We start from the raw sequence: 26,188 nt of genomic DNA, 5'->3' as shown, positions 1-26,188 counted from the left end.
TTTCTTGGATATGATAGCAAGAGTACAGACCACAGAAGTAAACATAAATTGGACTATATCAAAATTAAAAGCTTCTGTGCATCAAAGGCCATAATCAACAGAGTGAAAAGGCAACCTAAGGAATGGGAGAAAATATTTACCTATCATATCTGATAAGGGTGAATATCTAGAATATATAAAGAGCTCCTACAACTCAACAACAAAAACCAAACAACCTGATTCAAAAAGGGGCATATTCGCTGTTTGTATATTTTCTTTAAAAAATGTCTATTCAAGTCCATGAAGAGATGCCCAACATCTTTCCCCTCATCATTAGGGAAAAGCAAATTAAAACCATAATGACATTAACACCTCACATCCATTAGGATGGCTACTATTAAAAAAAAAAAAACTAGAAAATAACTAGTGTTGGCAAAGATGTAGAGAAATTGGAATCCTTATGAACTGTGGGTGGAATGTAATATGGTATACCCTCTATGGCAGTTCCTCAAAAATTTAAAAGTAGAGGCTGGGTGTGGTGGCTCACGCCTGTAATCCCAACACTTTGGAAGGCTGAGGAGGGTGGATCACCTGAGGTGAGTTTGAGACCAGCCTGGCCAACATGGCAAAACCCTGTCTCTACTAAGTAAACTACAAAAATTAGCCAGGCGTGGTGGTGGGCACCTGTAATCCCATCTACTTGGGAGGCTGAGGCAGGAGAACTGCTTGAACCTGGGAGGCAGAGTTTGCAGTGGGCTGAGATCACGCCACTGCACTCCAGCCTGGGCGACAGAGTGAGACTCCATCTCAATCAGTCAATCAATAGAATTACCATATGATCTAGCAATCCCATTTCTGGGTGTATACCCAAAAGAATTGAAAGCAGGGTCCTCAAGAGGTATTTGTACACACATGTTCATAGCAGCATTACTCAACCCGTGTCACACTGATGGATGAACAAAATGTGGTATATACAACTGAATATTCAGCTTTAAAAAGTAACTTCTGACACGTTACAACATGGACAATCTTGAGAACATTATACTAAGTGAAAAAAGCCAGTCACAAATACTGTGATTCCACTTATATGAATCCTTAGTCAAATTCAGAGAGAGTGAGTACAATGGTGGTTGTCAGGGGATGTGGGGAGGAATGGGGAGTTGTTTAATGGTTAAGTCAGTTTTGCAAGATGAAAAAATTCTGGAGATTGGTTGCAAAACAAAGTGACTACATAATACTTAACCATAAACACTTTAAAAAGATTAAGATAGCGTATTTTGTTACATATATTTTACTACAATTTTAAAGTAGGTGAATGTGCTTAACTTTACAGGGTGATAAGTACATTGCTTTTGACTCAAAGCTAGAAATCTGTATCTTGGCACCAAATAACAAATTACATAGCTTCTATTTTTTTGAGATAGTCTCGTCTGTCGCCCAGGCTGGAGTGCTGTGGCATGATCTCGGCTCACGGCAACCTCCACCTTCTGGGTTCCAGCAATTCTCGTGCCTCAGCCTCCTGCGTAGCTAGGACTACAGGCGCCTGCCATCATGCCTGGCTAATTTTTTGTATTTTTAGTAGAGACAGGGTTTTGCCATATTGCCCAGGCTGGTCTCGAACTCCTGAGCTCAGGCAATCTGCCTGCCTCAGCCTCCCAAAGTGCTAGGACTACAGGCCTGAGCCATTGTGCTGGGTCTCAAATTACATACCTTCTTAATAAATGAGGAAGATTTATCAATTTTGGATCAAAGCCATAACAAGAGCTATTTAATGAATGCCTTCTAAATGCCGTGCACTTCACAAATACAATAGTACCTTTAAACCTCACAAGGCAGGTATTTCTATTTTAGCTACTGTTATTATTATTTTTTTAAGAGATGGGGTCTCCCTGTATTGCCCAGGCTGGAGTACAATGGCTATTCACAGGTGTGATCATAGCATACTACAGACTTAAACTCTTTGGCTCAAGTGATCCTCCTGCCTTGGCTCCTGAATAGCTGTGACTGTAGGTGCACACCACTGTGCCCATCTTTTCTATTTTATAAATAGGAAAACTTAGGCTCAGTAAGATTTTGGGCTTTTGTTAGGGGAGAAGTGGCAGAGCCAGAATTTAAACCCAAGTGTGTGTGGCTCCAAAGCTCATGTTCATTCCCCAATACCACAGGCCTTGCCAGACATGCTTATGTTGGGACCATTTGATTGTGGTATTTCTTTAGCCTTAGTCTGCTAAAGTTCTAAAACTAAAAAGGTAGGGGGAAAAAAGAGACATCACCTTTAGTCATTCTAGATCTATGTAGCAGGTATTATTCATTACCTGTAGCAGATAAAAGGCAACCATTATTATTACTGATGTCATTCTAAGTAGATTTTAAACATTTGGATGCAATCCTTTTATCATGGAAATATTTAATTATATCATATATTCTTAATTTTAGTTAAAATCATGTCTGGCATGATGCCTTTAGCAACTTCTTACCATCCAAGAAAAGGTCCTTTTCCATAGTCTTAAAATAAGTAGTATTTACTAAGTTTACACTTTTCAATATGTAGATACTAAAAAAAAAGCTTGATTTTATAAAAAGGTGGTAATGTTTAATTCATTATGAGACCTCCATATGTGAGATTCTTTCTCTCTTCTAATATTTTCTAAATACTTACTCATAGCAGGTACTGTCCTAAATGCTTTATATGTATTGGCTCAGAAACTCCTCCATATTATCTACGAGGTGGTACCATTTCTACTCCTACTTTATAGATGAGGCATAAAAAAGTTAATTAATTTGCTAAAGGTTTCACAGGTGATAAGTGGCTGAGCAGGGTTTTAAAGTCTGATTTGAGTTTGTGGTCTGGTGGGCAGTGTGGCTCAGTGGACAGGAACCTGGGCTTTTTCCTGTAGAGAAGACATAGCTTTTAGCATAAGGATTCCCCCAAACTGATGACAAGTACAACTTGAATGCATATATAAATAACATTTATTAACTTAGGCTGTACAATATATTGATTTAGTCAAATAAAAAATACCGTACACAAAAATTGAAGTAAAATCTGTAAGATGCCATTCAGACTGAATTTTATATTCTGAATAAGACAAGGGACTGCCATTCACTTAAAGCAAAATGGCTCCAATTCCGTTTATCTATCTATCTATCTATCTATCTATCTATCCATCTATCTATCTATCTATCTATAAGTCTCGCTCTGTCACCCAGGCTGGAGTATCTATCTATTTATTTATGAGATAAGTCTCGCTCTGTCACCCAGGCTGGAGTGCGGTGGTGCAATCTCGGCTCACTGCAACCTCTGCCTCCCACGTTCAAGTGATGCTCCTGTCTCAGCCTACTGAGGAGCTGGGATTACAGGCATGCACCATCACACCTGGCTAATTTTTGTATTTTTAGTAGAGATGGGGTTTCACCATGTTGGCCAGGCTGGTCTCGAGCTCCTGACCTCAGGTGATCCACCCACCTTGGCCTCCCAAAGTGCTGGGATTACAGGCGTGAGCCACTGCGCCCGGCCTCCAATTCCATTTTGTAGGAAAGCACATAAGGCTATACCAATCAGGCACTGTGGCTGGTCTAATGCTCACACCAGGGGCCAGCCCACTGCCCAGACTTAGCCTCCAGGTAGGCTGCTTTGCTATTTAAAGGCAACAGTCTTAGGATCCTTATTATAAAAGTTTAAACAAAATCCCAAAGCCGTCAAGTCTTCCTGGAGATGGCAATGTACTATCAGTTTGGAATGTATACCAGTTTGGAAGCTGAAATCACTCTGCTGTAGCCTTTTGAGCACTGGCAGCATTTTCCAAAATTTTTCTTTTCCATTCTTCATAATCCTGTGTCAGATCTTCATCTTTCTGTGGTTTATGTGGCATCTCCTCTACCTTCTCCATTTCTGACAGAAAATTATCAAAAGCAATTTCAAAATTCTTAGCTTAGAAATGAAATTTAAAAAAAGGTAAACTTGTTTAAATTGTCTAAAATAGAAAAGATACTGAAATGACATGGAGAAACAGCAGTTATCACTTTTTTTTGAGATGGGGTCTTGTAATGTTGCTCAGGCTGCACTCAAATTCCTAGGTTCAAATGATCCTCCCACCTCCACCTCTTGAGTAGCTGGGACCGTGGCTGGGACTATAGGCTCACACTATCACACCTAGCTTAGCTATCACTTTTTTCCCTCCCTTACACTCCAAGCATTCCAAGACATCTAATAATAGCTAACGTCTATCAAGCACTTAACTGGTGCTTGATAGGCACTGAACCAAGTACTTTAAATAGCATTATTTCATTTAACCCCTACTACACTCCGTAATAGGTGATAATATTAATCACATTTTATAGGTCAGGAAATTGAGGCTCACAGAAATTATACTTTCTTAGAATCCCATAGCCAGTGGTTGGGCATAGTGGCTCATGCCTGTAATCCCAGCACTTTGGGAGGTGAAGGGGGCGGGTCACTTGAGCCCAGGAGTTCAAGACCAGCCTGGGTAACATAGTGAGGTCCCATCTCTATCAAAAATACAAAAATTAGCCAGGTGTGGTAGCACATGCCTGTAGTCCCAGCTACTCGGGAGGCTGAGGTGGGAGGATGGTTTGAGCTCAGGAGGCGGAGGCTGCAGTGAGCCGAGACCGTGCCACTGCACTCTAGCATGGGTGAGAGAACCAGGCCATGTCTCAGAAAAAGAGAAACCAAAAAACCAAAATCAAACAAACAAACAAAAAAACCAAAAAATCACATAGCCAGTAGGTGGTATTAAAACAATAATGCAGCCATTTGCCTGAGATTGTCTTTGTAGCTAAAGCTCTTATAAGCAAACTGGAACCTAACTTGGAAACATTTCTTTTGTCGGGGGAAAAGAACCTCCGAAAGACAAAAATAATCCCCAGCCAATCACAAACAGCCAACCAGCTGACTTGTTATACAACTAGGGACTTCCCATCAGACCATGCCCAGGTTTAAGACAAATACCTAGCTGTAGCTGCCCAGGCTGGTCTCGCACTCATGGGCTCAAGCAATCCTCCCGCCTCAGCCTCCCAAAGTGCTGGGATTACAGGAATAAGCCACTGTGCCAGACCAGCCATATTCTTAATTACCCAATAACGATGTTACTTCCATTACTGATTGCTTGGAAAACTGGTCTTATCAAATGATTCACAGTCAGAATGTACTTAAAACTGGACTCCTGTCAGGCAAGCTGCTAGAGCAGCACTGGGCTGTTCACTGCATAAAATGTCAACGTCAGTACCGTGTTAGTAAAACTTACCCTTTGCTGGGGCTTCAACCACTATCTTCTTTCTCTTCCGTGGTGGAGTAGCTACATCTCCAGGTTCTCCTTTAAGAAGTGTTATCAAGGTTAATTTTTCTCCTGTTCTCAATTTCAGTATTTGGGCATGTTTTGGATCACAAATAAAATTAGACATCTTAACTGATCAAATATGAGGAGAAGAGAAATGATCTTAGACCTCTCTTTTGGGCCTCTTGTCAGACTTGAGAATCATTTTCCAGGCATAGATTCATGGAATCATAGGTTAGAAACATCAATAAAAACATACCTGGTCCACATGTAATACGGAATTTAGGAAGCAGCCAGTTTACATATTTGAAAATATTTGACTTTTACAAGCAAAAGGACTACATTTTCAAATGACGCATTCTTGAACTACAGAATACTTACTGTCGACCTGCTGTCCAATCTTCTCTAGTTGTTTACACAGTCGATCAAATATAGCTTTTTTTACACCGGATGTGGCTACCATTTTGTTTTTATCCACTTTCAGCTTTAGAATCCTACAAAACAATTTCATAAGTTGCTTTTCTCAAGACCTGTACAGTTTTCTTCTCTGGGCAACCAGATAATCAACTTATTTTCTTTTTGACCATGCTTCCAGAGCCTCTGTCTAGTTTTTTTCCTTCATTCCAAACATGTTATTATCTATGCTAAGTTGTTTAGTTGTTTATTGGACTGAGAGTTAAAATGCACATGGGATCTATTTTATAACAAAAGGGGCACATAAAAGACATTTGCTGTAGTGCTTCATGACTTTTAGAACTCTTTAGTAAATCTCAGATTAATTTAATGAATGACAATCATAGGACTTTTTTGTTCCACTCATTTTAACTCACAGGATATTTATATTACAGGAATGTAACAACCCCACCCCACCCTGAAAATAAACTTTCCTAATAAGACTCCACAGCAACCACTAATTACAAACACAAAATAAACTTTTTCTTCAGAATAGACCTGTCAAGACCTTTTCTTACTCAGCGTAATATGGTTTCAAAAGTAGAGTTGACTATTCTCACTGTTTTCTACAATATCAGCTGCACTCCCTCCGTATATGCACATACTTTTGTTGAATTGAAGAGATGTTTTCCATAAATGCCAATTAATACTCCTAGGTATGTACCTAATAGAGCCAAGCATACCAAAATTAGTGGGTAGGTAGTGAGAAATCCATTCTTTAAGGGCCAACTACATTTTGTTTTCTAAGGAGTTTTCTGGCAAGATAAAAATAAGATAACTTTAGACAAAGATTATCAACAATTACTAATATTTCCAAGGTAACATTTCAGCATACACATAGATAACCCACAATTGTAAGATTCAGATGTGATAATTTATCACTAAAATGTTATAAATTCCTTGAAGAACAGTTGTAGCCAGTGTTTTGTTTTTTTTTTAAGAGACAGTGTTGTGGGGGGGTCAGCCCCCCGCCCGGCCAGCCGCCCCGGCCGCCCCTACTGGGAAGTGAGGAGCCCCTCTGCCCGGCCAGCTGCCCCGTCCGGGAGGGAGGTGGGGGGGTCAGCCCCCCGCCCGGCCAGCCGCCCCGTCCAGGAAGGAGGTGGGGGGGGTCAGCCCCCCCGCCCGGCCAGCCGCCCCGTCCGGGAGGTGAGGGGCGCCTCTGCCCGGCCGCCCCTACTGGGAAGTGAGGAGCCCCTCTGCCCGGCCACCACCCCGTCTGGGAGGTATGCCCGACAGCTCATTGAGAACGGGCCAGGATGACAATGGCAGCTTTGTGGAATAGAAAGGCGGGAAAGGTGGGGAAAAGATTGAGAAATCGGATGGTTGCCGTGTCTGTGTAGAAAGAAGTAGACATGGGAGACTTTTCATTTTGTTCTGCACTAAGAAAAATTCTTCTGCCTTGGGATCCTGTTGATCTGTGACCTTACCCCCAACCCTGTGCTCTCTGAAACATGTGCTGTGTCCACTCAGGGTTAAATGGATTAAGGGCGGTGCAAGATGTGCTTTGTTAAACAGATGCTTGAAGGCAGCATGCTCGTTAAGAGTCATCACCAATCCCTAATCTCAAGTAATCAGGGACACAAACACTGCGGAAGGCCGCAGGGTCCTCTGCCTAGGAAAACCAGAGACCTTTGTTCACTTGTTTATCTGCTGACCTTCCCTCCACTATTGTCCCATGACCCTGCCAAATCCCCCTCTGTGAGAAACACCCAAGAATTATCAAAAAAAAAATAAATTAAAAAAAAAAAAATAAAAATAAAAATAAAAAAAATGTAAAAAAAAAAAAAAAAAAAAAAGAGACAGTGTTGCTGTGTTGCCTAGGCTGCAGTGTAGTAGCGTGACCATAGCTCACTATAACCAAGAACTCCTAGGCTCCAGTGAGCCTTCAGCTTCAGCCTCCCGAGTAGCTGAGAAGCCAGGACTGGAGGCATGTGCTGACACCCAGCTAATTTTTTTTTTTTTTCTTAAGAGATTGGGGTCTTATTATGCTGTCTAGGCTAGTCTTGAACTCCTTGCCTCAAGCAGTCCTCCTGCCTCTGCCTCCCAGTGTTGGGATTACAGGCGGGAGCCACCACGCCTGGCCCAACCAGTACTTTTTAAAAAATATGAGCAGAAAAATCACATGTGAAGACTGTTTTAATGACAGATATCATCTCTTACAAAAGGCAGACTGAAATCAGAATTCCCAGCATATATATACAGCTGCTATTTGCTAGTGGAATTCTGGCAACACTAGTTCCAAGTTGTTAGCTACATTATGGGATAAACTGGGAATATAGTCACTTGGCCAATATTCCTAATATTATTTCTAGGGGAAAATATGCTCTGAATTGATATCAACTAAGTTAGAAGTATTCCTTGGGGATGAAAAACCCACTTGTAAATTGGTAACTTTTCTGAATGTTTAATGAAATACCTACTTGCATGCTGAAAGCAGTGCAGCAGAAGTGAAAAGTGGCCTGGATAAGTCAAGATCCACTTGCTGTGTCTGGGGAAGACTGGACTCATAGCTAAAGGAGAAGTTATTGCAGAATTATCTGTTAGAAAATATTATTTGAAAAGAGACTGAAAGTATCAACCAGAACTTACAAGCTTTTAAAATGGATATGTGTGCTGTCACTTAACACGAGTCATTTTTTTTAAGACTGAAAATTAACCAGAACAGGACAATGGATAATTTGTATCTATCAGTATAAATTTTCTGGTCCCCCCCACCGCCACCGCCGCCCCGCCCCAAGACGGAGTCTTGCTCTGTCATCCAGGCTGGAGTGCAGTGGTGCAATCTCGGCTTACTGCAACCTCCACCTCCTGGGTTCAAGCAATTCTCCTGCCACAGCCTCCCGAGTAGCTGGGATTACAGGTGCATGACGCCTCGCCCAGCTAATTTTTGTATTTTTAGTAGAAATGGGGTTTCACCATGTTGGCCAGGCTGGTCTTGAACTCCTGACCACATGATCCACCCAACTTGGCCTCCCAAAGTGCTGGGATTACAGGCGTGAGCCACCACGCCCGGCCTATTGGTATACATTTTCAATTAAGGTTCTCTATGCCCCATACCTTTTTAGTATCTTTGAAGCCATGTTCACTGCTTCTATACAGCTAAACTGTACAGCTAGGTCTCTTATTCCAATATTTGAATTCAGGCCCAGTAAACACTCAAAAGATTTAAGACAGCTCTGATATGTCTCCTTGTTCAAACCAGAAAGTTTAATTAAATAAGCCTGTGAAAGGAAAAACACATACACAAATCATAAAAACCTTAAGTTCTATATATTAGTACCCTTAAACACTTGTTTAATAAGCAGTATAACTTTTCAAAATTAATTTTGTGGCAAGTCACTCTACCTAAAGGTTTAGCTTCATTTAGTCAAAAAACTGGTAATCATGTCAGGCTGAGGAAGTACTGCTTTCAAAGAGTTCAAACTATGCAAAGGCAGGCAGTCATGCATATGCACAGATGATTTAAAATTATAACACAATATTAATATAGTCAAAATAGGCAGTAAAAAACCACAGGAAACACACAGATGGTTACTTGTGTTTATACAAAGGTGCTAACGTGTAATTTATTGGGAAAAGGAAGGAGAGAAGTAGCGGGAGTGGAGTAGGGGGCGGGGTGGTGAGAGAGAGAGAGAGAGAGAGAGTGTGTGTGTGTGTGTGTGTGTGTGTGCAGGAGAGAAAGAGGAAAAGGAAACTAGGAAAAGAAACAGGAGGATCCACTGTGGGAAACCAGCTCTGTCTGGGAGACTTAAGGAAAGTTTCAATGTAACAATAAGGCAAGGTCATGTAAGACAAATAGGAGTTTGCCAGAAGAGCATTGCAGGAAAAAAACAAGGTATTGCATTTTCAAAGCCACAAATCATTGACGTGCAGAGTCTGTTAAGAGAATACTGCAGCTTGAGGCCAGGATTCAAGAGAGGCTGGAGAGTTTGATGGTCATCAACAAAGCTTTGTTTTTAGTATTACCATTTAATGAGTGTATCGTTATGACACAGGTGCTGTGTTAATGGTGTTATGTACATTTAATCCTCATAATAATCCAGCGAAATTGGATATTTTATCTTCACTTTATGGATGAGGACACTGGAGGCTAACAGAGGTAGCTAGTGTGGAGATTTGATCTCAACATGAAACTCCTCCTGACTGACCCCAAAGCTTGTTCTCTCAAACACTGTGACATTGGAAGAAAAGCATAGGGGTTTGGAAATACGTGCTTTAAAAGGAGGGTAATGCTAGCAGCAATGTGGAAGATGGCCTCTAGCCGAGAAAGAGGTGGTCAGGGAAAACAGTGAAGAGTAAAGAAAACATGGCAAAAAAATATTTTCCAATGCAAAATGATTCTACAGTATTTCCAGAATAACACACAAGAATACCCAGGACAATTCTAAAACAAGAGTTTTTACTAGGGTTTAGTTCAACCAAAAGTTAAAAGAGCTTCAATGTTGCACTGGATTATTCAGACATTCGGTGGGACCTACTTACCCTGTCCAAGGGGCACTTCATCCAGGAAGCTGCAAGGTCCAGGCACATGACTGCACTGCTGGTCTCCGTGGTGCGTGCGGAGAGGCCGACACACTTCACCCGGGACAGGCGCAAGTACTCCTCTGCTTTCCTGGTTAAAAGGGCAGTGTGTTCGCTACAACTTATTCAGAAGTTTGCTCAACACGTTGGTAAACAATGAATACAGCCTGGTTAGCTTCACACTAAGCCTAACTCCTGTGGCTCGTTTATCTGGGGCTGGGAATGAAGGTCATATCCTCTGGTGAGAGGAAGACAGAACCAGCACTGACTCCAAACATCACTGTGCTCAAATGCTTTCAGGCAAAAGGAAGTTAAATTTTGACAAAAAAATTACCCTTCTTTCCTCCTTCCATTACTGGAACAAGCACGAACTATCAGAGACAGGCAGGTTAGACCAGGGTTCCTCCTTTCCTCCTATTTCCTTTAAATCAGTAGTTCTTAAACTTGATGGTAGGCGAAAATCACCTTGGGGACTTGCAAATTACTGGGTCCCAGGCCGAGTTACTGATCAGCAGGCTTGAGGTGGGACCCAAGAATTTGTATTTCTAACAAGTGACAAGATGATATGGCTGTTGCTGGTCCAGGAACCACATTTTGAGAACCACTGTTCTAAATGACTACCGAGTCCTGCAGGTTTGTCTTCAAATCTTTTAAGTGCTGTTTTCCTTGCCTTCCCTCGCCTGACTGCTCCACGTTTTAGCTACAATGGCTTTATTTCGAACCCCGGATCCCGCTTCCCATCTCAACGCTTTTACAGGAGCTGTCGCCCCTGCCTGGGCTGCTCTTGCCATATCTTTCCTCGCCTAGCATCTGCCATCAATCCGGCCTCAGCGGGAACGGCGCCTGCTTTTCCGAGTTTTGTTTGTTTCTTTGTGTTAAAGGCAGCCGCTAGGCCGCGCTCCACCCCAAGCCCAGTGGCTCAGGAGCATTGCCCGGTTAAGGTCTACACAGTCCTCGCCCTTACAGACAGCGGGGTCTGCGCCTCGTTGTCGGGTTCCCCGCTATAAACCCGACTGCAGTAGGCGTTGGCGGAATGAACGGAAAGTTCTCCCTGGCTCATTTTTCTACCCACGGACAGGGCTGGCTGTTCCCAGGGACGTGTGCCATCGCCGTTTGCTATCGCCCTTCTTGCCATCTCATTCAAGCTCACGGCCGAGAAGTTTTTCTTGAAGTAGGCCCTAAACCCCGCCCGGCCCCAGCGCTCCCCGTCACTCCCCCGCCGCCCGTCGCCTGGGAAGGGCGCGGGCCTCACCTGAGGGCCCAGGGCCGCGAGGCGGAAGCCCAGCCCTGGTCTTGCGCGGCCGAACTCACCTCAGCATGTCGGGCTCGGCGAGGCCCAGGCGCGGGGCTAGGCGCCCGATCAGCTCCGACCCCATGGCGCCGGCACTAAAGCGAACAATTCCCGTGAACGCCGCGGGTCAACGAAACCCGCGCGCAAAGGCTGCACCGGCCAGTGAGAGCCAGGCCCCACCCCCGGCGCATCTGGATTGGTTAGGACAGGACGTTGAGACCGTCCCACAAACCAATCAGGGTCTTCCTTTTGCGCATGCGCATCAATAGCGCAATCGCCAACGCAGATGCGGTGAACGTGGACTTGTCGGCTCCCCCTCCTTCCATTCCTTCTTGACAAACTCATCACACACTGCCTTTCCCTCCTGTTGTCTCCTGCCTGCCGCCGGGCGATCCCCACTGCCCTGCACTGCTCCGCCCACTCTCGCACGCTGTGGTGAGATTGGCTGGCGCTCAGGTCCGTCCATCTAGCGTTAAGTGACAGGGCCAATAAGCACGCGAGACTCGGGTTCCTAGAAGTAGGCCAATCAATGAGCCGCCTGTAGGGCCCGGGGGCGGGGCTAGAGAGGGCGGGGCTTGGAGGGGCCGCAGCGTCACATGACCGCGGGAGGCTACGCGCGGGGCGGGTGCTGCTTGCTGCAGGCTCTGGGGAGTCGCCATGGTGAGTGCTGAGGGGGCAGTGGCACCTGGGTCGACCCTCCTTGTAGCCCCTGCTCTCTCCCACCGCCCCGCACTCCAGCGAGTGGAGAAGGGGCCCCACAGACCGTTCGGGATTAAGACCAGCCCGATTTGGCCTGCGGGATAGGGGACAGCAGGAGGAAGGCCGCGGGCAGGCTGATCCGGGCCGGGGTGGGCGGCGGCTCTTGGCTGCGGCCGTTGCTGAGAGACGGGGCGGCCTCTCTGTGGGGTTGACTTGGCATGTAGGCTTTGGGGTCCATGAAGGCCTGCGGCCTCCTTTAAGTGGAATCGGTCACCTGCCTACCACGAGGGGACCGGTAGTCCTAGGTCTGAGCGTCTGGCCCCCGGGGCGCGTGGAGGCCCTGAGACTCGGAGGTGGCGCCGGGACCCGCCCAGATGTTGCGTTTCTACCTTTGTGCCTAGTTGTGCTCGGCCGTCCCCACGCCCTCCTGGAGGGGTCGCAGTGATTCCTTGGCCTTTCTTGGCCTCATACCCGCCTTCGGCTGCAGTGTTTGTCAGCGAGTTCTGGGGACCTGCTTACATGAATTTCCTGGAAGGACTCAGGCTGTCTTCTAATCCTGACGGTCGCAAAGGAGACTGATTGTTTACTTTAGCATTTGTGCATTGGGCGCACCTTGCCTCTTTTGTCTCGCCATTGATAAAATCCAAGTATTTGACTTGCTGGAAGCAGTACTTCTCCTTAGGGCCCGTCTATGACGGCAGCAAATCGTGGTGTGGCTGTTGGCCGGTAAACTTGAACTTCCTCAAAATGTGAATCTTTGTGTCTGGTTCCCACAAAGGCAAGTTGTCACTTGCATTTTATTAGCGTTTAACATAGCCTGCACTGTGTAAATAAATTTTTTGAGTATATACTGTATGTCCGCTTTAATTACCTTACTCACTCTGTGTAGATAGGCTTCTGTAAATCTGTAAGCCTGGAAACAGATTTCACTTTAAATGTCTTAATGCCAGAAAGGATTAAGTGTTTTACAAATACTATTTTCATATAACGTGTTGCCGTACAAGGTGATTTTGCCTGTTTCTCAGGATTTTTATAATTGGGAATTGATACAAGACCGGCGCAAAATTTAACTTTAGGATTTGTGTGTTTCCAGCGTTTATGGATTGACATTTATATTGTTTTGTAATGGAAAACACTTAATTGAGGATGTATTACACACTCCGATTCTTTGTTGGGTGAACCAGTTGGGAGCAATCAGCCAGACACACAGTCTTGTCCTCATGAATTTTATTGGGAAAGGAAACTTGAGTATTCGTTCTTTCACAGTCACTGTCTATAATTTAGGCAGCTCGCTTAGTCTTCTTGGTGTCGCACTTTTGCATCCGAAAGCAAGTGTTGGCGGCCCCTTTGGCCCTTCCCAGCCCTAAAATTCCAGAATCCACTTCAATTCATCAAACATCTTGTGTGCCTTCAGTGTCACGGACTGTGGCCCTGGGTACCAATGTCGAACTTAAGAGGCTACTGGGGGAGACACGCTTGTAGAACTTAACTGTAATACAGTGTGTGGATTGCTTTACTAACATTGTCAACTCAGTGCTTTGGGGTCATGGAGGGATAGTTTTGCCTGGGGATTTTGGGAAGGACTACAGGAAGTAACGTGAACTGAGACTATAAAGAGGGTGGAAAGAAATTCTCCAGGTGGAAAGAAAAGGTATTGCTAATAGATGAAGCCAAAACGTTCAGTGTGCTCCATCAGAGGATTCTTGGGGATATGTATTGGAAATGAAGTTAGAGCCGTTTGGTGTTCAAATTATATTTTGAAGTTGTCATGCCCTCATCATCCTTATTTCTCTCTACTTCAGTTGTCAATGTATGCCATGTCATCATTTTTAAAATAGTTCTTTCATTAACGTGATATTCTGTACCTTTGTTTGAAGAAATGAGCGTTACATTTGGTTTACATTGTACTGTCAGATTACATCTACAGCATATAAGCAGGGAGGTTGAACCACAATAGGTTTCTAACATAAGTGGAGATAATTATTTGTATCTAAACTGAATAATAATTATAGCACTTATTAAGTGCTTATTGCTAAGTAGTAGGCACGTTTTGAGCTTTGGTTTCATTTGTTCTTCATAACAGTGGTGTACTCTCATCTCTGTTTCATAGAAGAGGAAAGAAAAGCACATTGTTTCAGTGGAGAGTAGTTTTCCAAGTGATCAGTTCATGATCTTTGCTTTGCTCTGCACATTAGAACTGTAGACTTGAGAGGGCTGTTTGTGGGTCTCAAGCTAAAATGGGACTAATCACAAATGTTAATTTGATTCCCATTCTGTAGGGTTTCCATTTTCTTCTGATTCATGTAGCTGTGAAGTACGGTCATTTACAAATGGAAAACCACTTTCATGATTGAGGAAACATTGGTTAATTGGCTTGTGTTTAATGATAGCGTGCTCATATTATAACTGTTAAGGCTCTATGTGACACTTCATAGTAAGGCATCAAGAATAGCCCTTATAATAGCTGTTGCTAGCATAACTACACTGTTTTATGAGTAATATATAAAAATAGATTGCTTTACTATAGCTTTATGTCTTCACTTGTAGCTTACTTTGTAATAAGTCATATTCTGTAATCTTCAACATTTTGTATTTACATTTCTATTTTAAGCTGAGTTGAGACAAAATAGAAGAATTTTCCTAAAATTGCATTCTTTTGTTTACACATCTCTAAATCTTTCTAGTCATTCTATACAAATGTTTTTGGAACTGATTGTATCCTCTTTGTAGCCACAGTTTCATTTGCTATATAATAAAAATTATCATACACAACAGCCAAAAGGTGGAAACAACCCATATGTCCATGGATAAACAAAATGTAGTGTGTGTGTATATATATAGATATATAATGAAATACTTCGTTTTTAAAAGGAGGGAAATTCTGGCACATACTGCAACATGGATGAACATTGAAGATATTATGGTCAGTGAAATAAGCGAGACATAAAAGTAAAAATATTGTATGATTTCACTTAAATGAAGTATATAGAGTAGTCAAACTCAGAGAAAAGAAGGTAGAATTGCCTGGGGGTTCGGAATGGGAGTTTAATGGCTACAGTTTCTATTTGCATTTGTAAAGATAAAAAGTTTTAGAGATAGATGGTGGTAATTGTATTAATGTGAATGTACCTAATGCCACTGAACTGTACATTTAAATGTTAAAATGGTAAATTTTAGGTACATTTTACCACAACAAGAAGTCATTTTTAATTAAAAATATCCAGATGTATCATAAAGAAAAATAAAAAAAATTCAGATGTATCACTGTTTATCTCTAAATGGATCAATTGAACTTAATGAAATCCATTGATTCAAATTATTATTAAATCTATTGCGTCCAGAGGTAAGGAGCCAAAAAATTCCAAATGATGGCCTGGTTTCACTAAAGTTCAGAGAAGACTAGCCCATGATGAATAGTAAATTTCATTAAGTCAGAGTCTTTAAATGCTGGTGTCATCCTTGCCTCTGAAACCAGCATTTTATGGTAATAGTTCCACTGGGTTAAATTCATGTTCCCTTTAAGTGAAGTTTAAAAGATACCTAACTTCTTCTTTGAAATTTGTTTGTGCTTCTGAGGAAGAGTGCTTGCAGCAGAGCTCAGTTTACTAGAGTTTTTCATAGGGAAAAAAAGGGAGATGCATGGTGTTGTTCATTATTCAGTTAATATTTTTCTCTTTCCAAAGTTAGAACAAGAGAAAGTTTTCAATTTTTATAAGCTATGCTAGTTCAGAAGTGGGTTTTATGTTATCAAGTTTCTTTGTTAATCTCAAAATGAAATGTTGTTTTGCTTTTCTTAGATAATGAAACAGACCAGATTTTACTTGCAGGTTGATGTGTAAGTCCTTGCCTTCCACCTCTTCAACTCATTGTGTGAGAGGCATTTTGTCTTTAGTCATTGTTTTAAAAAATAAAAGTGAAATGACATAACAAAAAATTAACCATTTTAAAGTGAACAATTTATAAAGTGGCATTTAGTATGCTCACAATACTGTACAATCACCACCTTTGGTTTCAAAACATTTTCCCTACCCCTAAAAGAAAGCCAGTGCCCATTAAGTGATTATTCCCCTCAGCCTCTCTCCTGGTAATCATCAGTCTACTTTCTGTTCCTATACAGAATATTTCATATTAGAGGAATCATACAATATGTGGCTTTTTATGTCTAGCTTCTTTCATTTAGCATGATGTTTTCTAGGTTTGTTTATGTAGCAATACTTCATTCCTTTTCATGGTTGAATAATATTCTGTAATTGTATGTATATACCACAACTTGTTTATTCATCCATTAATTATTCAGTCTTTTTTTGTTAAATATCTAAACATTCTAAAACCAGTGTATTCATTTATGCAGTGAACATTTGTGGAGCATATTATGTATCAAGCAGTGTGTTGGATCCCAAGGATGTAAAAATGACCGTCATTTATAATAATAATGTGATACATGCTGTGGTGGAGATGTAAACAGTGTTTATATGACTTGAAGAAGTGGTTAATTCTTTTTGGCATGGAGATTGAATTCATTTTGCAAGCAGATTTTTGCTGATGGCAAAGAGAAGAGTGTCTAGATATATTTTGTCCACTGTAGCTGTAGATCAGTATATCTGAAATGGTGTAAGCTATTTGAGGACAGTGCTCTTTATTGTTTTCTACTGTAAGTCACTAACAATTTTGGCTGTTTTATTTCTAGACTGTTTAGTCTTTTGTTAAATATTGCCAAGGAGGGGCTGGTCACTGTTCTCGTAAACTAGTTCCTTAGTCTGTCTTAAGAATAGACTGAAATGCAGATGATAAGTAGTCTAGAGGAAAAGAGAGGCTTTAGAGATTGGTTTCGGCTATACCTATCACAAGATTTCGATTGGTCAGATGGCTATGTCTGGGTTGGATTCAGAGTGTGTTAGCAGAACACAGCCATGAACTACCACTGCAAGTTTCTTTGAGGCCAGCCTACTTTCTGAGAGAGAGGCAATTCTTTGTACACATACTATTCTCCTTTGTCAGTCTTATTCTGTTAACTTCAGCGATAAGGCATGACTCTGTGTGCAGCAGCTGTTAATAATTGGTAAATGGGCTGGGTGCGGTGGCTCATGCCTATAATCCAAGCACTTTGGGAGGTCGAGGCAGGCGAATCACGAGGTCAGGAGATGGAGACTATCCTGGCTAACATGGTGAAACCCCGTCTCTACTAAAAATAGAAAAAAAATTAGCCGGGTGTGGTGATGGGCGCTTGTAGTCCCAGCTACTTAGGAGGCTGAGGCAGGAGAATGGCTTGAACCCGGGAGGCGGAGCTTGCCATGAGCCGAGATGGCACCACTGCACTCCAGCCTGGGCGACAGAGCTAGACTCCGTCTCAAAAAAAAAATTTGGTAAATGGGTTTGAGGTATAGAGCTGGACATTGTTGGAGAAGGACTATGGCTAGAACTATAGAAATAACGTACTTGCTAGAAGAATGTGCTTGAGACATCAGTGGAATTTTTTATTTTTCAGCCTACAACACAGCAGTCCCCTCAGGATGAGCAGGAAAAGCTCTTGGATGAAGCCATACAGGCTGTGAAGGTCCAGTCATTCCAAATGAAGAGATGCCTGGTAAGAATGGAGATGTGGGAGGCACAGTTGCAGTTCGTGTGTTCCTAAGGAAGCATGTGCAGTGTCTTCTAGAGTCAGGTGTTTCTGGTAAATCTAATCTTCACCGTTTACCAGCATCTATCTTCAGTCTCATCTCCCTCAAGCACTTTGTGGAGCAATTTCAACAAAGAGCCCTGTTTACTCACATGTATATTTATGGTTTGGGATTGTCTGTCTTCCCTACTAGAATACAAGCTCATAAGAATAAGAGACCCTTCCTTTTATTTACACATTACTGTATTATTACCACACCAGTGTCTGACCAGAATTACTAGCCTCCTTGGTTCTATACCTCAGACCTGAGGAATATTTAACATATAATAGGTACTCAGTAAATATTTGTTGAATGAATGGATTTAAATGCTTTGCATTTGAATTATTCAGCTTTTTTTCTAAATATCTTGAAAACTTTAATTTCTTTGCTGAATAGATATATTTATTGTAGAAGCTAGCTTAAAAATTATACTTAACACTTATTTACATATTTTTATATTCTAAAAGATAAAGTAAGAGATAATCTGTGTAGATACTTTTGATTCTCTGGATTAAAATGTAAGGAATTGAGCCAAATTGGTTAGTACTTTAAACTATAAATTACTGTGATGAAGATGATGCTATTTTACCTTTGTAAAATGTCTTACTGTGCTTTCTAAAGCATAGTAATATGCTCTTGTGTCTTTTATTGGTTTAATTCCTAACAAATTGGGAATGAAAAATAAATGTCTTGGAATGGAGAAGCTGGGTTTGCTATTGCTTGCTTCTTTCTCTTCCTGTGTATGGATAGTGTTTCCTCTATCTCAAGGAATTGCTTGCATTTCTGAGTTAAGTGGAACATATGGGCATTGTGAGGGCTTGAAGAATGCAAGAGGAAAGCAAACTTACATGGATAGTCATTTCAGACAGCTCTGAAGAGTCTTTAACCCATGACAAAGCCATGTCAGGATAGTATCTTCCTTCACCTGAATCAGTATGCCAGTTCTCTTGATTGCAGGTAAAATGTGATGAATGGAGCTAGTTTCCTAGTCTCTATAGATTGAAAAGATTAGCATTCTATCAAGAAGCTTGCAGTCTTAGCTATGTTAAGTCTTACTAAGAATCATGTATCTTTTTCTTTTTCAGTAGAGACGGCAAGGTGAACCGATCTAAGTTGTTTTTTTAATGTGGTTAAAATCATTTAAGTGCGGTATTCTTTTAAAACTATGTAACAAGTCCTTGATGTAAAGAATTTGTACAACCAAGATAAATGTTTATTTAAATTAAGCATTCTCATCTATTCTCTTGGTATTTCTGTAGGACAAAAACAAGCTTATGGATGCTCTAAAACATGCTTCTAATATGCTTGGTGAACTCCGGACTTCTATGTTATCACCAAAGAGTTACTATGAACTTTGTATCTTTTGAATGTTGAAGACTAAACATTTGGACCATACCTTTTTCTTGATAAGGCCTATTTTGTTTGTTCTTTATGAAGTTTTTCTGGAGTTATCTTATTCTTCGTTATCTGAGTCACATGGCACTCCTTCTCCATGCAGATGTGCTAAGTGAGAAAAACACTTTGAGAGTACTCCTTTCCTATGCTTAAACATCTTTAAATGTGTTGTCGGTGCATCTCAATTTTCAGACCCTTCATGAGGATATTTAGGCTATGACACAGTTGGTTCTTTAATACTTAGATTTTGTTATGCAGCAGTCTCAAATGGACAGGAATTTAATCATTTGCCATTTCAAAACCCATTAGCAGTCTGACAGGTAACCATTGTATTTACTGCTTTGCTTGACCACACATGCTTTAAAACCCTTATTTTAAAGTAAGAAAAGTCCGGCTAAAATTCATCCTTCGCTTGAACACTTTCTTAAAGGACTAAAACTTAAGATGTCTGCCCAGTAGTTAGTAATGACTCCAACAAGTTTCAAAGTTTTGTTTAGGTTGGCTTATTTTTATTTTTAGTCCTTAATCATAATTAAAAGATATGGCCATTTCTGATGAACTGCACTACTTGGAGGTCTACCTGACAGATGAGTTTGCTAAAGGAAGGAAAGTGGCAGATCTCTACGAACTTGTACAGTATGCTGGAAACATTATCCCAAGGCTGTAAGTAATTACAAATCAGAGAACTTTTGTGTCTGTATTTCTCACTATATGTTACGTCTTTTATGATTATCAGCTTAAGAAAAAGTTTTAAGGGTAACTTCTTAACAAATTGAGATGAACATTTTGGTAGATATTCTCTTACTTGTTTTAGAGTAACTAGATTTACGTTTTATGTAGATATTTGAGGAATTTTGGAAATAGAAAAAATGGACATGCTTGCTATTTTTTTTAATGTCTTGACTATTAGAAAAATTAATATAATTGTTCTCTTCCTAATATGTTTAAAGGTAATATCTATGTTGTATATATACAGTGTGTGTGTGTGTGTGTGTGTGTGTGTGTGTATAGTTTTTTTAGAGGTCAGTCAGTGGTTATATTTTAAATGAGATATTTTCCTTGTCATGCGGGAGAAAACAACATGGTTCCTGTCTTGTTTATTTAATGTTTTGTTCAGTGTGTTTGGAAATAAATTCTTGATTTGAATATTTTATTTCTAATCAGCATTTCTTCATAATTTTCCTAGTTACCTTTTGATCACAGTTGGAGTTGTATATGTCAAGTCATTTCCTCAGTCCAGGAAGGATATTTTGAAAGATTTGGTAGAAATGTGCCGTGGTGTGCAACATCCCTTGAGGGGTCTGTTTCTTCGAAATTACCTTCTTCAGTGTACCAGAAATATCTTACCTGATGAAGGAGAGCCAACAGAGTAAGTGATTTTCTTTCTTAATTTTGTTGCAATATTTCTTTCATTGTAGAATGTATAAAAGTGTGGAAACATATACAGAAACAAAGTGTGAATAATTCTTCCACCCAGTCAGCCATTTAGGTAGCATTTGTATATAGATTTCCTTTGTAATATAGAACTCCTCAGTATATGTGGTATCATCTAAAATGTACTCTTATGCAAATTTTATCTTTGGATTGTTAGGACCTGCTTTTTTCATTTAATGTAATTTTTTCTACTACATTAAATCTTCTTTGAAAATAAAACTTTTTTAAGAGAGTTGTATTTGGAAATTGAATTTGTAATGAAATAATAAAGTGTGAGCCAGCTGGATTTCATAATTGTTCCTTTAGTGTCTATCAGTTTTTATAATTTATAGACTGCTAGTTACCTTGGAATATAAGTGATTTGAATTATCTGTTACGAGTTAGCTATTAACTCCAGAGAAGGAAAAATAAAAGCCATTCAGAGACACTCCTGTCTCTTGTGTTATCAGTATTCTAGCATCAAAGTCTACTGTACTTTTATCCCACAGCAGGGGCAGATGGTCAGCCAACTGTGGTCTTCAGTGGGGTGAGCTGTTCACATGACAGGTCCCCAGATTAAAGAACTTCATTCCTTTTTTAAAAAGTTTATTCATTTATTTTCTTTCTTTTTTTAATTTTTAATCTTTTTTCAGTTTGCCCCAACAGATTTTGTTTTTTTCTTTTTAATATTTTCATTTATTTCTAAGGTTTTTAATATATCATTTATTTCTAATGTTTTTTAATATATCTGCATCAATTTCTTTTAAAACAGTACAGAAAAGATAAAACATTTAACAATGTAGAGAAATTGATGAAGTTACTTGCTTTATTATGTTTTGAGTGTCCGTTTTGAGCATTTAATTAGGCAATCAATAACAATTTTTGAAAGGTACTGAGGTCTCCATCCTAGGAGACGTAGAAAAATAAAGCAGGAAATCCATGGTCTCTTCCCTCACAAAGCTTACATTCCAATTAAAAACAAAATATTCAACAGTAAAATGATGTAGTTAGCAGTACACCATAAGTGTTACATTTTTTAGCCTTTTGTTTTTGTTTTTGGTTTGTGGGGATGGGGTCTCATTATGTTGCCCAGGCCAGTTTTAAACTCCTGGCCTAAAGCGATCTTCCTGCCTTGGCCTCCCAAAGCACTGGATTACGGACATGAGCCACCATGCCCATCCTTCTAGCCTTTTTCAATTAAGGAAGTTGCCATAAGAGCAAGTCCAGTTGGCCCAGGATGAGGAGTTGGGGAAAGTAATTTGCCCTTTAAATTTATACTGTCCTCTCCATGGTACTTTTTACCCTAGAGTCTGTTCCCTTTGAAATTTAACACTAAGCCAATGAAGTTGAAAGTGATTTTTTATAAAGCATTGGTGTACTATAGAGATAAGTAGGAAATACACAAAGGAGAAGGATAGTAGTAAGTTGGTCCTGTAAATACTGTGTAAAGACTTTTCTGTTTCTTTGCAGTGAAGAAACAACTGGTGACATCAGTGATTCCATGGATTTTGTACTGCTCAACTTTGCAGAAATGAACAAGCTCTGGGTGCGAATGCAGCATCAGGGACATAGCCGAGATAGAGAAAAAAGAGAACGAGAAAGACAAGAACTGAGAATTTTAGTGGGAACAAATTTGGTGCGCCTCAGTCAGTTGGAAGGTGTAAATGTGGAACGTTACAAACAGGTTTATATATTTTTGTTACCTCTTCTTATGTTCAGAGATAAACTGAAATCTGATTTTTAAAATCAGAATATTTTTGTTATACAATAGTACATTGAAAAACATCTTAAAATGGCTGTTATTGAAGAAGACTTAAACGGAAAGATATATATGCAGTGTTTGTGGATTGGAAGACTTAATATTGTCAAAATAGCATTTAAAAAGAATTGATTTATAGATCCAATGTAATCTCAGTCAAAATCCCAGCAGACTTTTGTAGAAATTAAGAAGCTGATTCTAAAGTTTATATGAAGAAACAAAGAACCTGGAACAGCTACAACGAATTTGAAAAGGAAGAACAAGTTGAAAGACCCAAGCAACCTGAATTAATGATTTACTCTAAAGCTGCAGTGAGATCCTGTGTGGTATTGGTGAAAAGGATAGACACACAAATCAATGGAGGGGAATAAAACAGGGAATGGCAAACTTTACCTGTGAGGGACCAGATAATAAATGGTTTTTGGCTTTGTAAGACATGTGCTGTACAACAAGCTTGTCCAACCTGCAGCCCAGGACAGCCTTGAATATGGCCCAACATAAGTTTGTAAACTTTAAAACATGAGATTTTTTGCTTTTTTTTTTTTTTTTTTTTTTTTTTTTTAAAGCTCATCAGCTAAGTGTATTTTATGTATGGCCCAAGACAATTCTAATTCTTCTTCAAGCCAAAAGATTGGACACCCTAGTCTACAACTAATAACAGTGCAGATATGGTGCAAAAGCACCCACAGGCAATATGGAAGTGAATGGGCATGGCTGTGTTCTAGTAAAACTTTATTTGTAAAAACAAGCAGCAGCTCAGTTTACCGATCTCTGACTGGACAATCCATAATAGACCCAGATATTTATGATCAGTTATTTTTGATAAAAGTACAAAGGCAACCTTTTCAGCAAGTGATTCTGGAACAATTGGATGTTTATATGCAAACAAAAAACCCTGAACCTTGACCCATCCCTCATACCATATAGAAAAAACACAGAAATCAATCAGAGACCTAAATATAGAACCTAATAATGTTAGAAGAAAACACAGAGGAAATCTTTATGACCTAGGATTAGACAAAGATTTCTGAGGATATACAAGCACAAGCCATGAAGAAAAAAGCTCACTTTTGAGAGGCCAAGGCAGATGGATCACTTGAGTCCAGGAGTTTGAGACAGGCCTGGGCAACATAGGGAGACCCCATCTCTACAAAAATTACCAAAATTAGCTGGGCATGGTGGAACGTACCTGTAGTCCCAGCACTCAGGAGGCTTGAGGTGGGAGGATGACTTGAGCCTAGGAGGTGGATGTTGCATTGAGTGGAGATTGTGCCACTTCACTCCAGCCTGGGCAACCGAACAAGACCTTGTCTCAAAAAGAAAAAAGCTTTTAAAGTTTAGAAGTGAAGTCTTGGTGAGAAAAATCTCAAATACGATTTTCAAGTTAGTAGTTCAAATGCGTTACTAGAGGAATAGCTTAAGATTTTGAAAACAGATTTTAACCCTTATGTGTGTTTTTTCTCTTTTAGATTGTTTTGACTGGCATATTGGAGCAAGTTGTAAACTGTAGGGATGCTTTGGCTCAAGAATATCTCATGGAGTGTATTATTCAGGTAGCTGGGAACATTTCATTTTTTTTTAAACGACCTATTTTATCTTTCATTAAATTTAATTGTTTTGAAAAAATTTTGATGGAATAGGAAATAAGCTTTCCTGAATAAAGAGTTTTCCTTGCGGGGTGTGGTGACTCACACCTGTAATCTCAGCAGTTTGGGAGTTCAAGGTGGGAGGATCTCTTGAGGCCAGGAGTTCAAAACCAGCCTGGGCAACATAGCACGATGCCGTTTCTATAAAAAATTAAAAAAATTTTTTTAGTGTTTCTTTTTTTTTTCATGTAATCTTGCTTCTTCTAAAAATAATTTAAAAATAGGAATTTTCTGTTTCTAACTTATACCTTGGTCTTTGTATCAATGTGGTTTGTTTTCCTCCAAAATGTAGGAATGAGTAATCTGAGTTTTCTAGGTCTCTGTAGCTTTAGTTTAATTGTAGGTGCACTTTGTTTATTGGAATATTTCTGTCTGAGCTTATGTTTAGTAGAGAGGTTCAAAAGTAATGTGTTTGAATTTAGTTGTATAAGAATACAGTGTTTTTTTCCCACAAATGTGAACTTTACCATATGTGAGTCCAGAATATTACGTGAAATACTTTTATTTGTATTGATCATTTGATTTTCAGGTTTTCCCTGATGAATTTCACCTCCAGACTTTGAATCCTTTTCTTCGGGCCTGTGCTGAGTTACACCAGAATGTAAATGTGAAGAACATAATCATTGCTTTAATTGATAGGTAAGACCTTCCAACACTGGCGGATAAATGCTCTGACTTGGGAATAATGAATTTTAAACATTTTTTTGAATTATTTGTTTCTGTTACATCTTTATCATACCAATGATCTTAATTTAATTATACTATAAATAATTTAGCTTTGTGAGTATGAGTACTAGGTACTTGTCTAGGTTAGACATGAAAGAGGCTTAACTTAAATGTGCAGGAGACGTGAAGATAATGAATATCTTTATTCTGTGTGCTTAATTGACATTTAAAGATGTTGTACAGACTTATTTTTTAAATCATACAAATCCAAAGATCATATTGAAGAACAAAATTTGTTTTTTACCATGATGTAAGTATCTTGCAGTGGGAACTCATTTGATTTAGAGTAGCCGTAAGATACTGATGATTGAAAATGTTCAAGTAATCACTCTATCATCACATTTTCTTAAAGAAAAAATTTTAAGTATCAAATATGTTTAGTACATCCACTTTTTTATTTTCTTAGGTTTTTTTTTTTTTTTTTTTTTTTGAGACAGATCCTCACTCTTGTCACCCAAGCTAGAGTGCAGTGACGCTGTCTCGGCTCACTGCAACCTCTGACTCCTAGGTTCAAGTGATTCTAGTGTCTCAGCCTCCGGAGTAGCTGGGATTACAGACATGCACCAACAAGCCCAGCTAATTTTTGTATTTTTAGTAGAGACAGGGTTTTGCCAGGTTGGCTAGGCTAGTCTCAAACTCCTGAGCTCAAATGATCTGCCTGCCTCAGCTTCCCAAAGTGCTGGGATTACAGACATGAGCCACTGCGCTTGGCCAATGGGTGGCTTTTTTGCAGCCATGTTATGTAGTAGTATATGATGTCTGTCCTACACTTGTAAGCATTGTCATGAAACCAGAAACCTAAGAGAAGATTTATTTCTGCAGATACCTTTTGTATGTTTTTTAAAAAACTAAGTTATTAGTTTTAAAGTCTGAGAATTTAGATAACAAATTTTTCCAAATTGTCAGCTCAATCCTGGGCAGCAAAAATTCCATACTTATTGGGCCCACTCTTAAAGGAAGCTAGTAACTGGATTTTCCTGAGTTGCCTGTAATGTCACTTACACATCTCTGTCAGTAGTGATGCTTCTGGGCATAGCAAAATGTGGATGTAGTTGTGACTGACAAACAGATAATGATAATGAAACATACTATTTTGAGTAATTTAAGATGTGGGAAATAAAAGTTAATTTTATGAATTTTAGACTTAGTTGTATTTCAAGCTTTAGTAAAAATGCAGTATCTTAAAATAGTCTATGTACTTTTATTTTTTAAAGGTTATTTATTTAAATCATGGTTGTTGAATACATTTGTCACTTTAATGCATTTCTGTCCATATCTGCTTAATTATGCTTCAAAGAGTTGAGAGAATTATCTTGTTGAAAATCTACTTAATATGGTGTGAAATAAGAATGCTG

General features: G+C 39.9%; 2 protein-coding genes across 6 annotated transcripts in view, besides 7 other annotated features; one reads left to right on the top strand and one right to left on the bottom strand.

The window, feature by feature from the left end:
• Positions 2,935-11,670, bottom strand: ORC6 (origin recognition complex subunit 6). Of its 3 annotated transcripts, none has more exons than NR_037620.2 (7): positions 11,500-11,670; positions 10,209-10,338; positions 8,784-8,947; positions 8,147-8,236; positions 5,655-5,767; positions 5,244-5,312; positions 2,935-3,871 (listed from the first exon to the last, which is right to left on the bottom strand). NR_037620.2 is itself a non-coding variant. In NM_014321.4 (7 exons), the coding sequence occupies exons 1-7, from the start codon at positions 11,621-11,623 to the stop codon at positions 3,744-3,746; spliced, it is 759 nt and encodes a 252-aa protein (NP_055136.1). In that variant the 5' UTR covers positions 11,624-11,670; the 3' UTR covers positions 2,935-3,743. The 3 variants fall into 3 exon arrangements, 2 of the variants coding, with proteins under 2 accessions (NP_055136.1, XP_011521280.1); NM_014321.4 differs by having other exon boundaries at positions 11,559-11,670; XM_011522978.4 differs by lacking the exons at positions 2,935-3,871; positions 5,244-5,312 and adding an exon at positions 6,245-6,390 and having other exon boundaries at positions 5,692-5,767; positions 11,559-11,670.
• Positions 10,847-10,916: an enhancer, noted in NCBI's record as "active region_10772". NCBI's record gives its function as "activates an Ori minimal core promoter by ATAC-STARR-seq in GM12878 lymphoblastoid cells {active_cell/tissue: GM12878}" and the evidence as "EXISTENCE:reporter gene assay evidence [ECO:0000049][PMID:35858748]".
• Positions 10,967-11,046: an enhancer, noted in NCBI's record as "active region_10771". NCBI's record gives its function as "activates an Ori minimal core promoter by ATAC-STARR-seq in GM12878 lymphoblastoid cells {active_cell/tissue: GM12878}" and the evidence as "EXISTENCE:reporter gene assay evidence [ECO:0000049][PMID:35858748]".
• Positions 11,284-11,982: an enhancer, noted in NCBI's record as "H3K27ac hESC enhancer chr16:46723259-46723957 (GRCh37/hg19 assembly coordinates)". NCBI's record gives its function as "activates a minimal SCP1, AML or CMV promoter by ChIP-STARR-seq in primed H9 embryonic stem cells {active_cell/tissue: H9 hESC(primed)}" and the evidence as "EXISTENCE:reporter gene assay evidence [ECO:0000049][PMID:30033119]".
• Positions 11,387-11,686: a silencer, noted in NCBI's record as "silent region_7433". NCBI's record gives its function as "represses an Ori minimal core promoter by ATAC-STARR-seq in GM12878 lymphoblastoid cells {active_cell/tissue: GM12878}" and the evidence as "EXISTENCE:reporter gene assay evidence [ECO:0000049][PMID:35858748]".
• Positions 11,983-12,680: an enhancer, noted in NCBI's record as "H3K27ac hESC enhancer chr16:46722561-46723258 (GRCh37/hg19 assembly coordinates)". NCBI's record gives its function as "activates a minimal SCP1, AML or CMV promoter by ChIP-STARR-seq in primed H9 embryonic stem cells {active_cell/tissue: H9 hESC(primed)}" and the evidence as "EXISTENCE:reporter gene assay evidence [ECO:0000049][PMID:30033119]".
• Positions 12,007-12,246: a silencer, noted in NCBI's record as "silent region_7432". NCBI's record gives its function as "represses an Ori minimal core promoter by ATAC-STARR-seq in GM12878 lymphoblastoid cells {active_cell/tissue: GM12878}" and the evidence as "EXISTENCE:reporter gene assay evidence [ECO:0000049][PMID:35858748]".
• VPS35 (VPS35 retromer complex component) overlaps positions 12,151-26,188 on the top strand; it is a 33,047-nt gene continuing 19,009 nt past the window's right edge. The window contains exons 1-8 of one of the 3 annotated variants that reach the window (NM_018206.6): positions 12,151-12,198; positions 17,723-17,821; positions 19,154-19,250; positions 19,829-19,952; positions 20,476-20,658; positions 22,173-22,386; positions 23,931-24,014; positions 24,637-24,746. In NM_018206.6, coding sequence (NP_060676.2) covers positions 12,196-12,198; positions 17,723-17,821; positions 19,154-19,250; positions 19,829-19,952; positions 20,476-20,658; positions 22,173-22,386; positions 23,931-24,014; positions 24,637-24,746 — 914 coding nt within the window. In that variant the 5' untranslated portion in view covers positions 12,151-12,195. Of the gene's footprint in view, positions 13,016-17,722; positions 17,822-19,153; positions 19,251-19,808; positions 19,953-20,475; positions 20,659-22,172; positions 22,387-23,930; positions 24,015-24,636; positions 24,747-26,188 lie in introns of those variants that run through there. The other 2 variants (XM_011523227.4, XM_005256045.4) reach the window with 2 other exon arrangements.
• Positions 12,397-12,446: a silencer, noted in NCBI's record as "silent region_7431". NCBI's record gives its function as "represses an Ori minimal core promoter by ATAC-STARR-seq in GM12878 lymphoblastoid cells {active_cell/tissue: GM12878}" and the evidence as "EXISTENCE:reporter gene assay evidence [ECO:0000049][PMID:35858748]".

This window comes from Homo sapiens, chromosome 16, assembly GCF_000001405.40.
Source record: "Homo sapiens chromosome 16, GRCh38.p14 Primary Assembly".
NCBI classification, from domain to species: domain Eukaryota; kingdom Metazoa; phylum Chordata; class Mammalia; order Primates; family Hominidae; genus Homo; species Homo sapiens.
The sequence above is the reverse complement of the archived record's forward strand: the minus strand, read 5'-3'. Positions and strand labels throughout refer to the sequence as shown.

Excerpts from the sequence above, each read along its gene's own strand:
- ORC6 (NM_014321.4), bottom strand. The coding sequence starts at position 11,623 with ATGGGGTCGGAGCTGATCGGGCGCCTAGCCCCGCGCCTGGGCCTCGCC. Across the intron at positions 8,237-8,783 it reads GCTTCAAAGATACTAAAAAG|CTATGAGTCCAGTCTTCCCC; the intron begins GTATGGGGCATA and ends CTTCTCCTTTAG. Across the intron at positions 5,313-5,654 it reads GATTGGACAGCAGGTCGACA|GAGAACCTGGAGATGTAGCT; the intron begins GTAAGTATTCTG and ends CACTTCTTAAAG.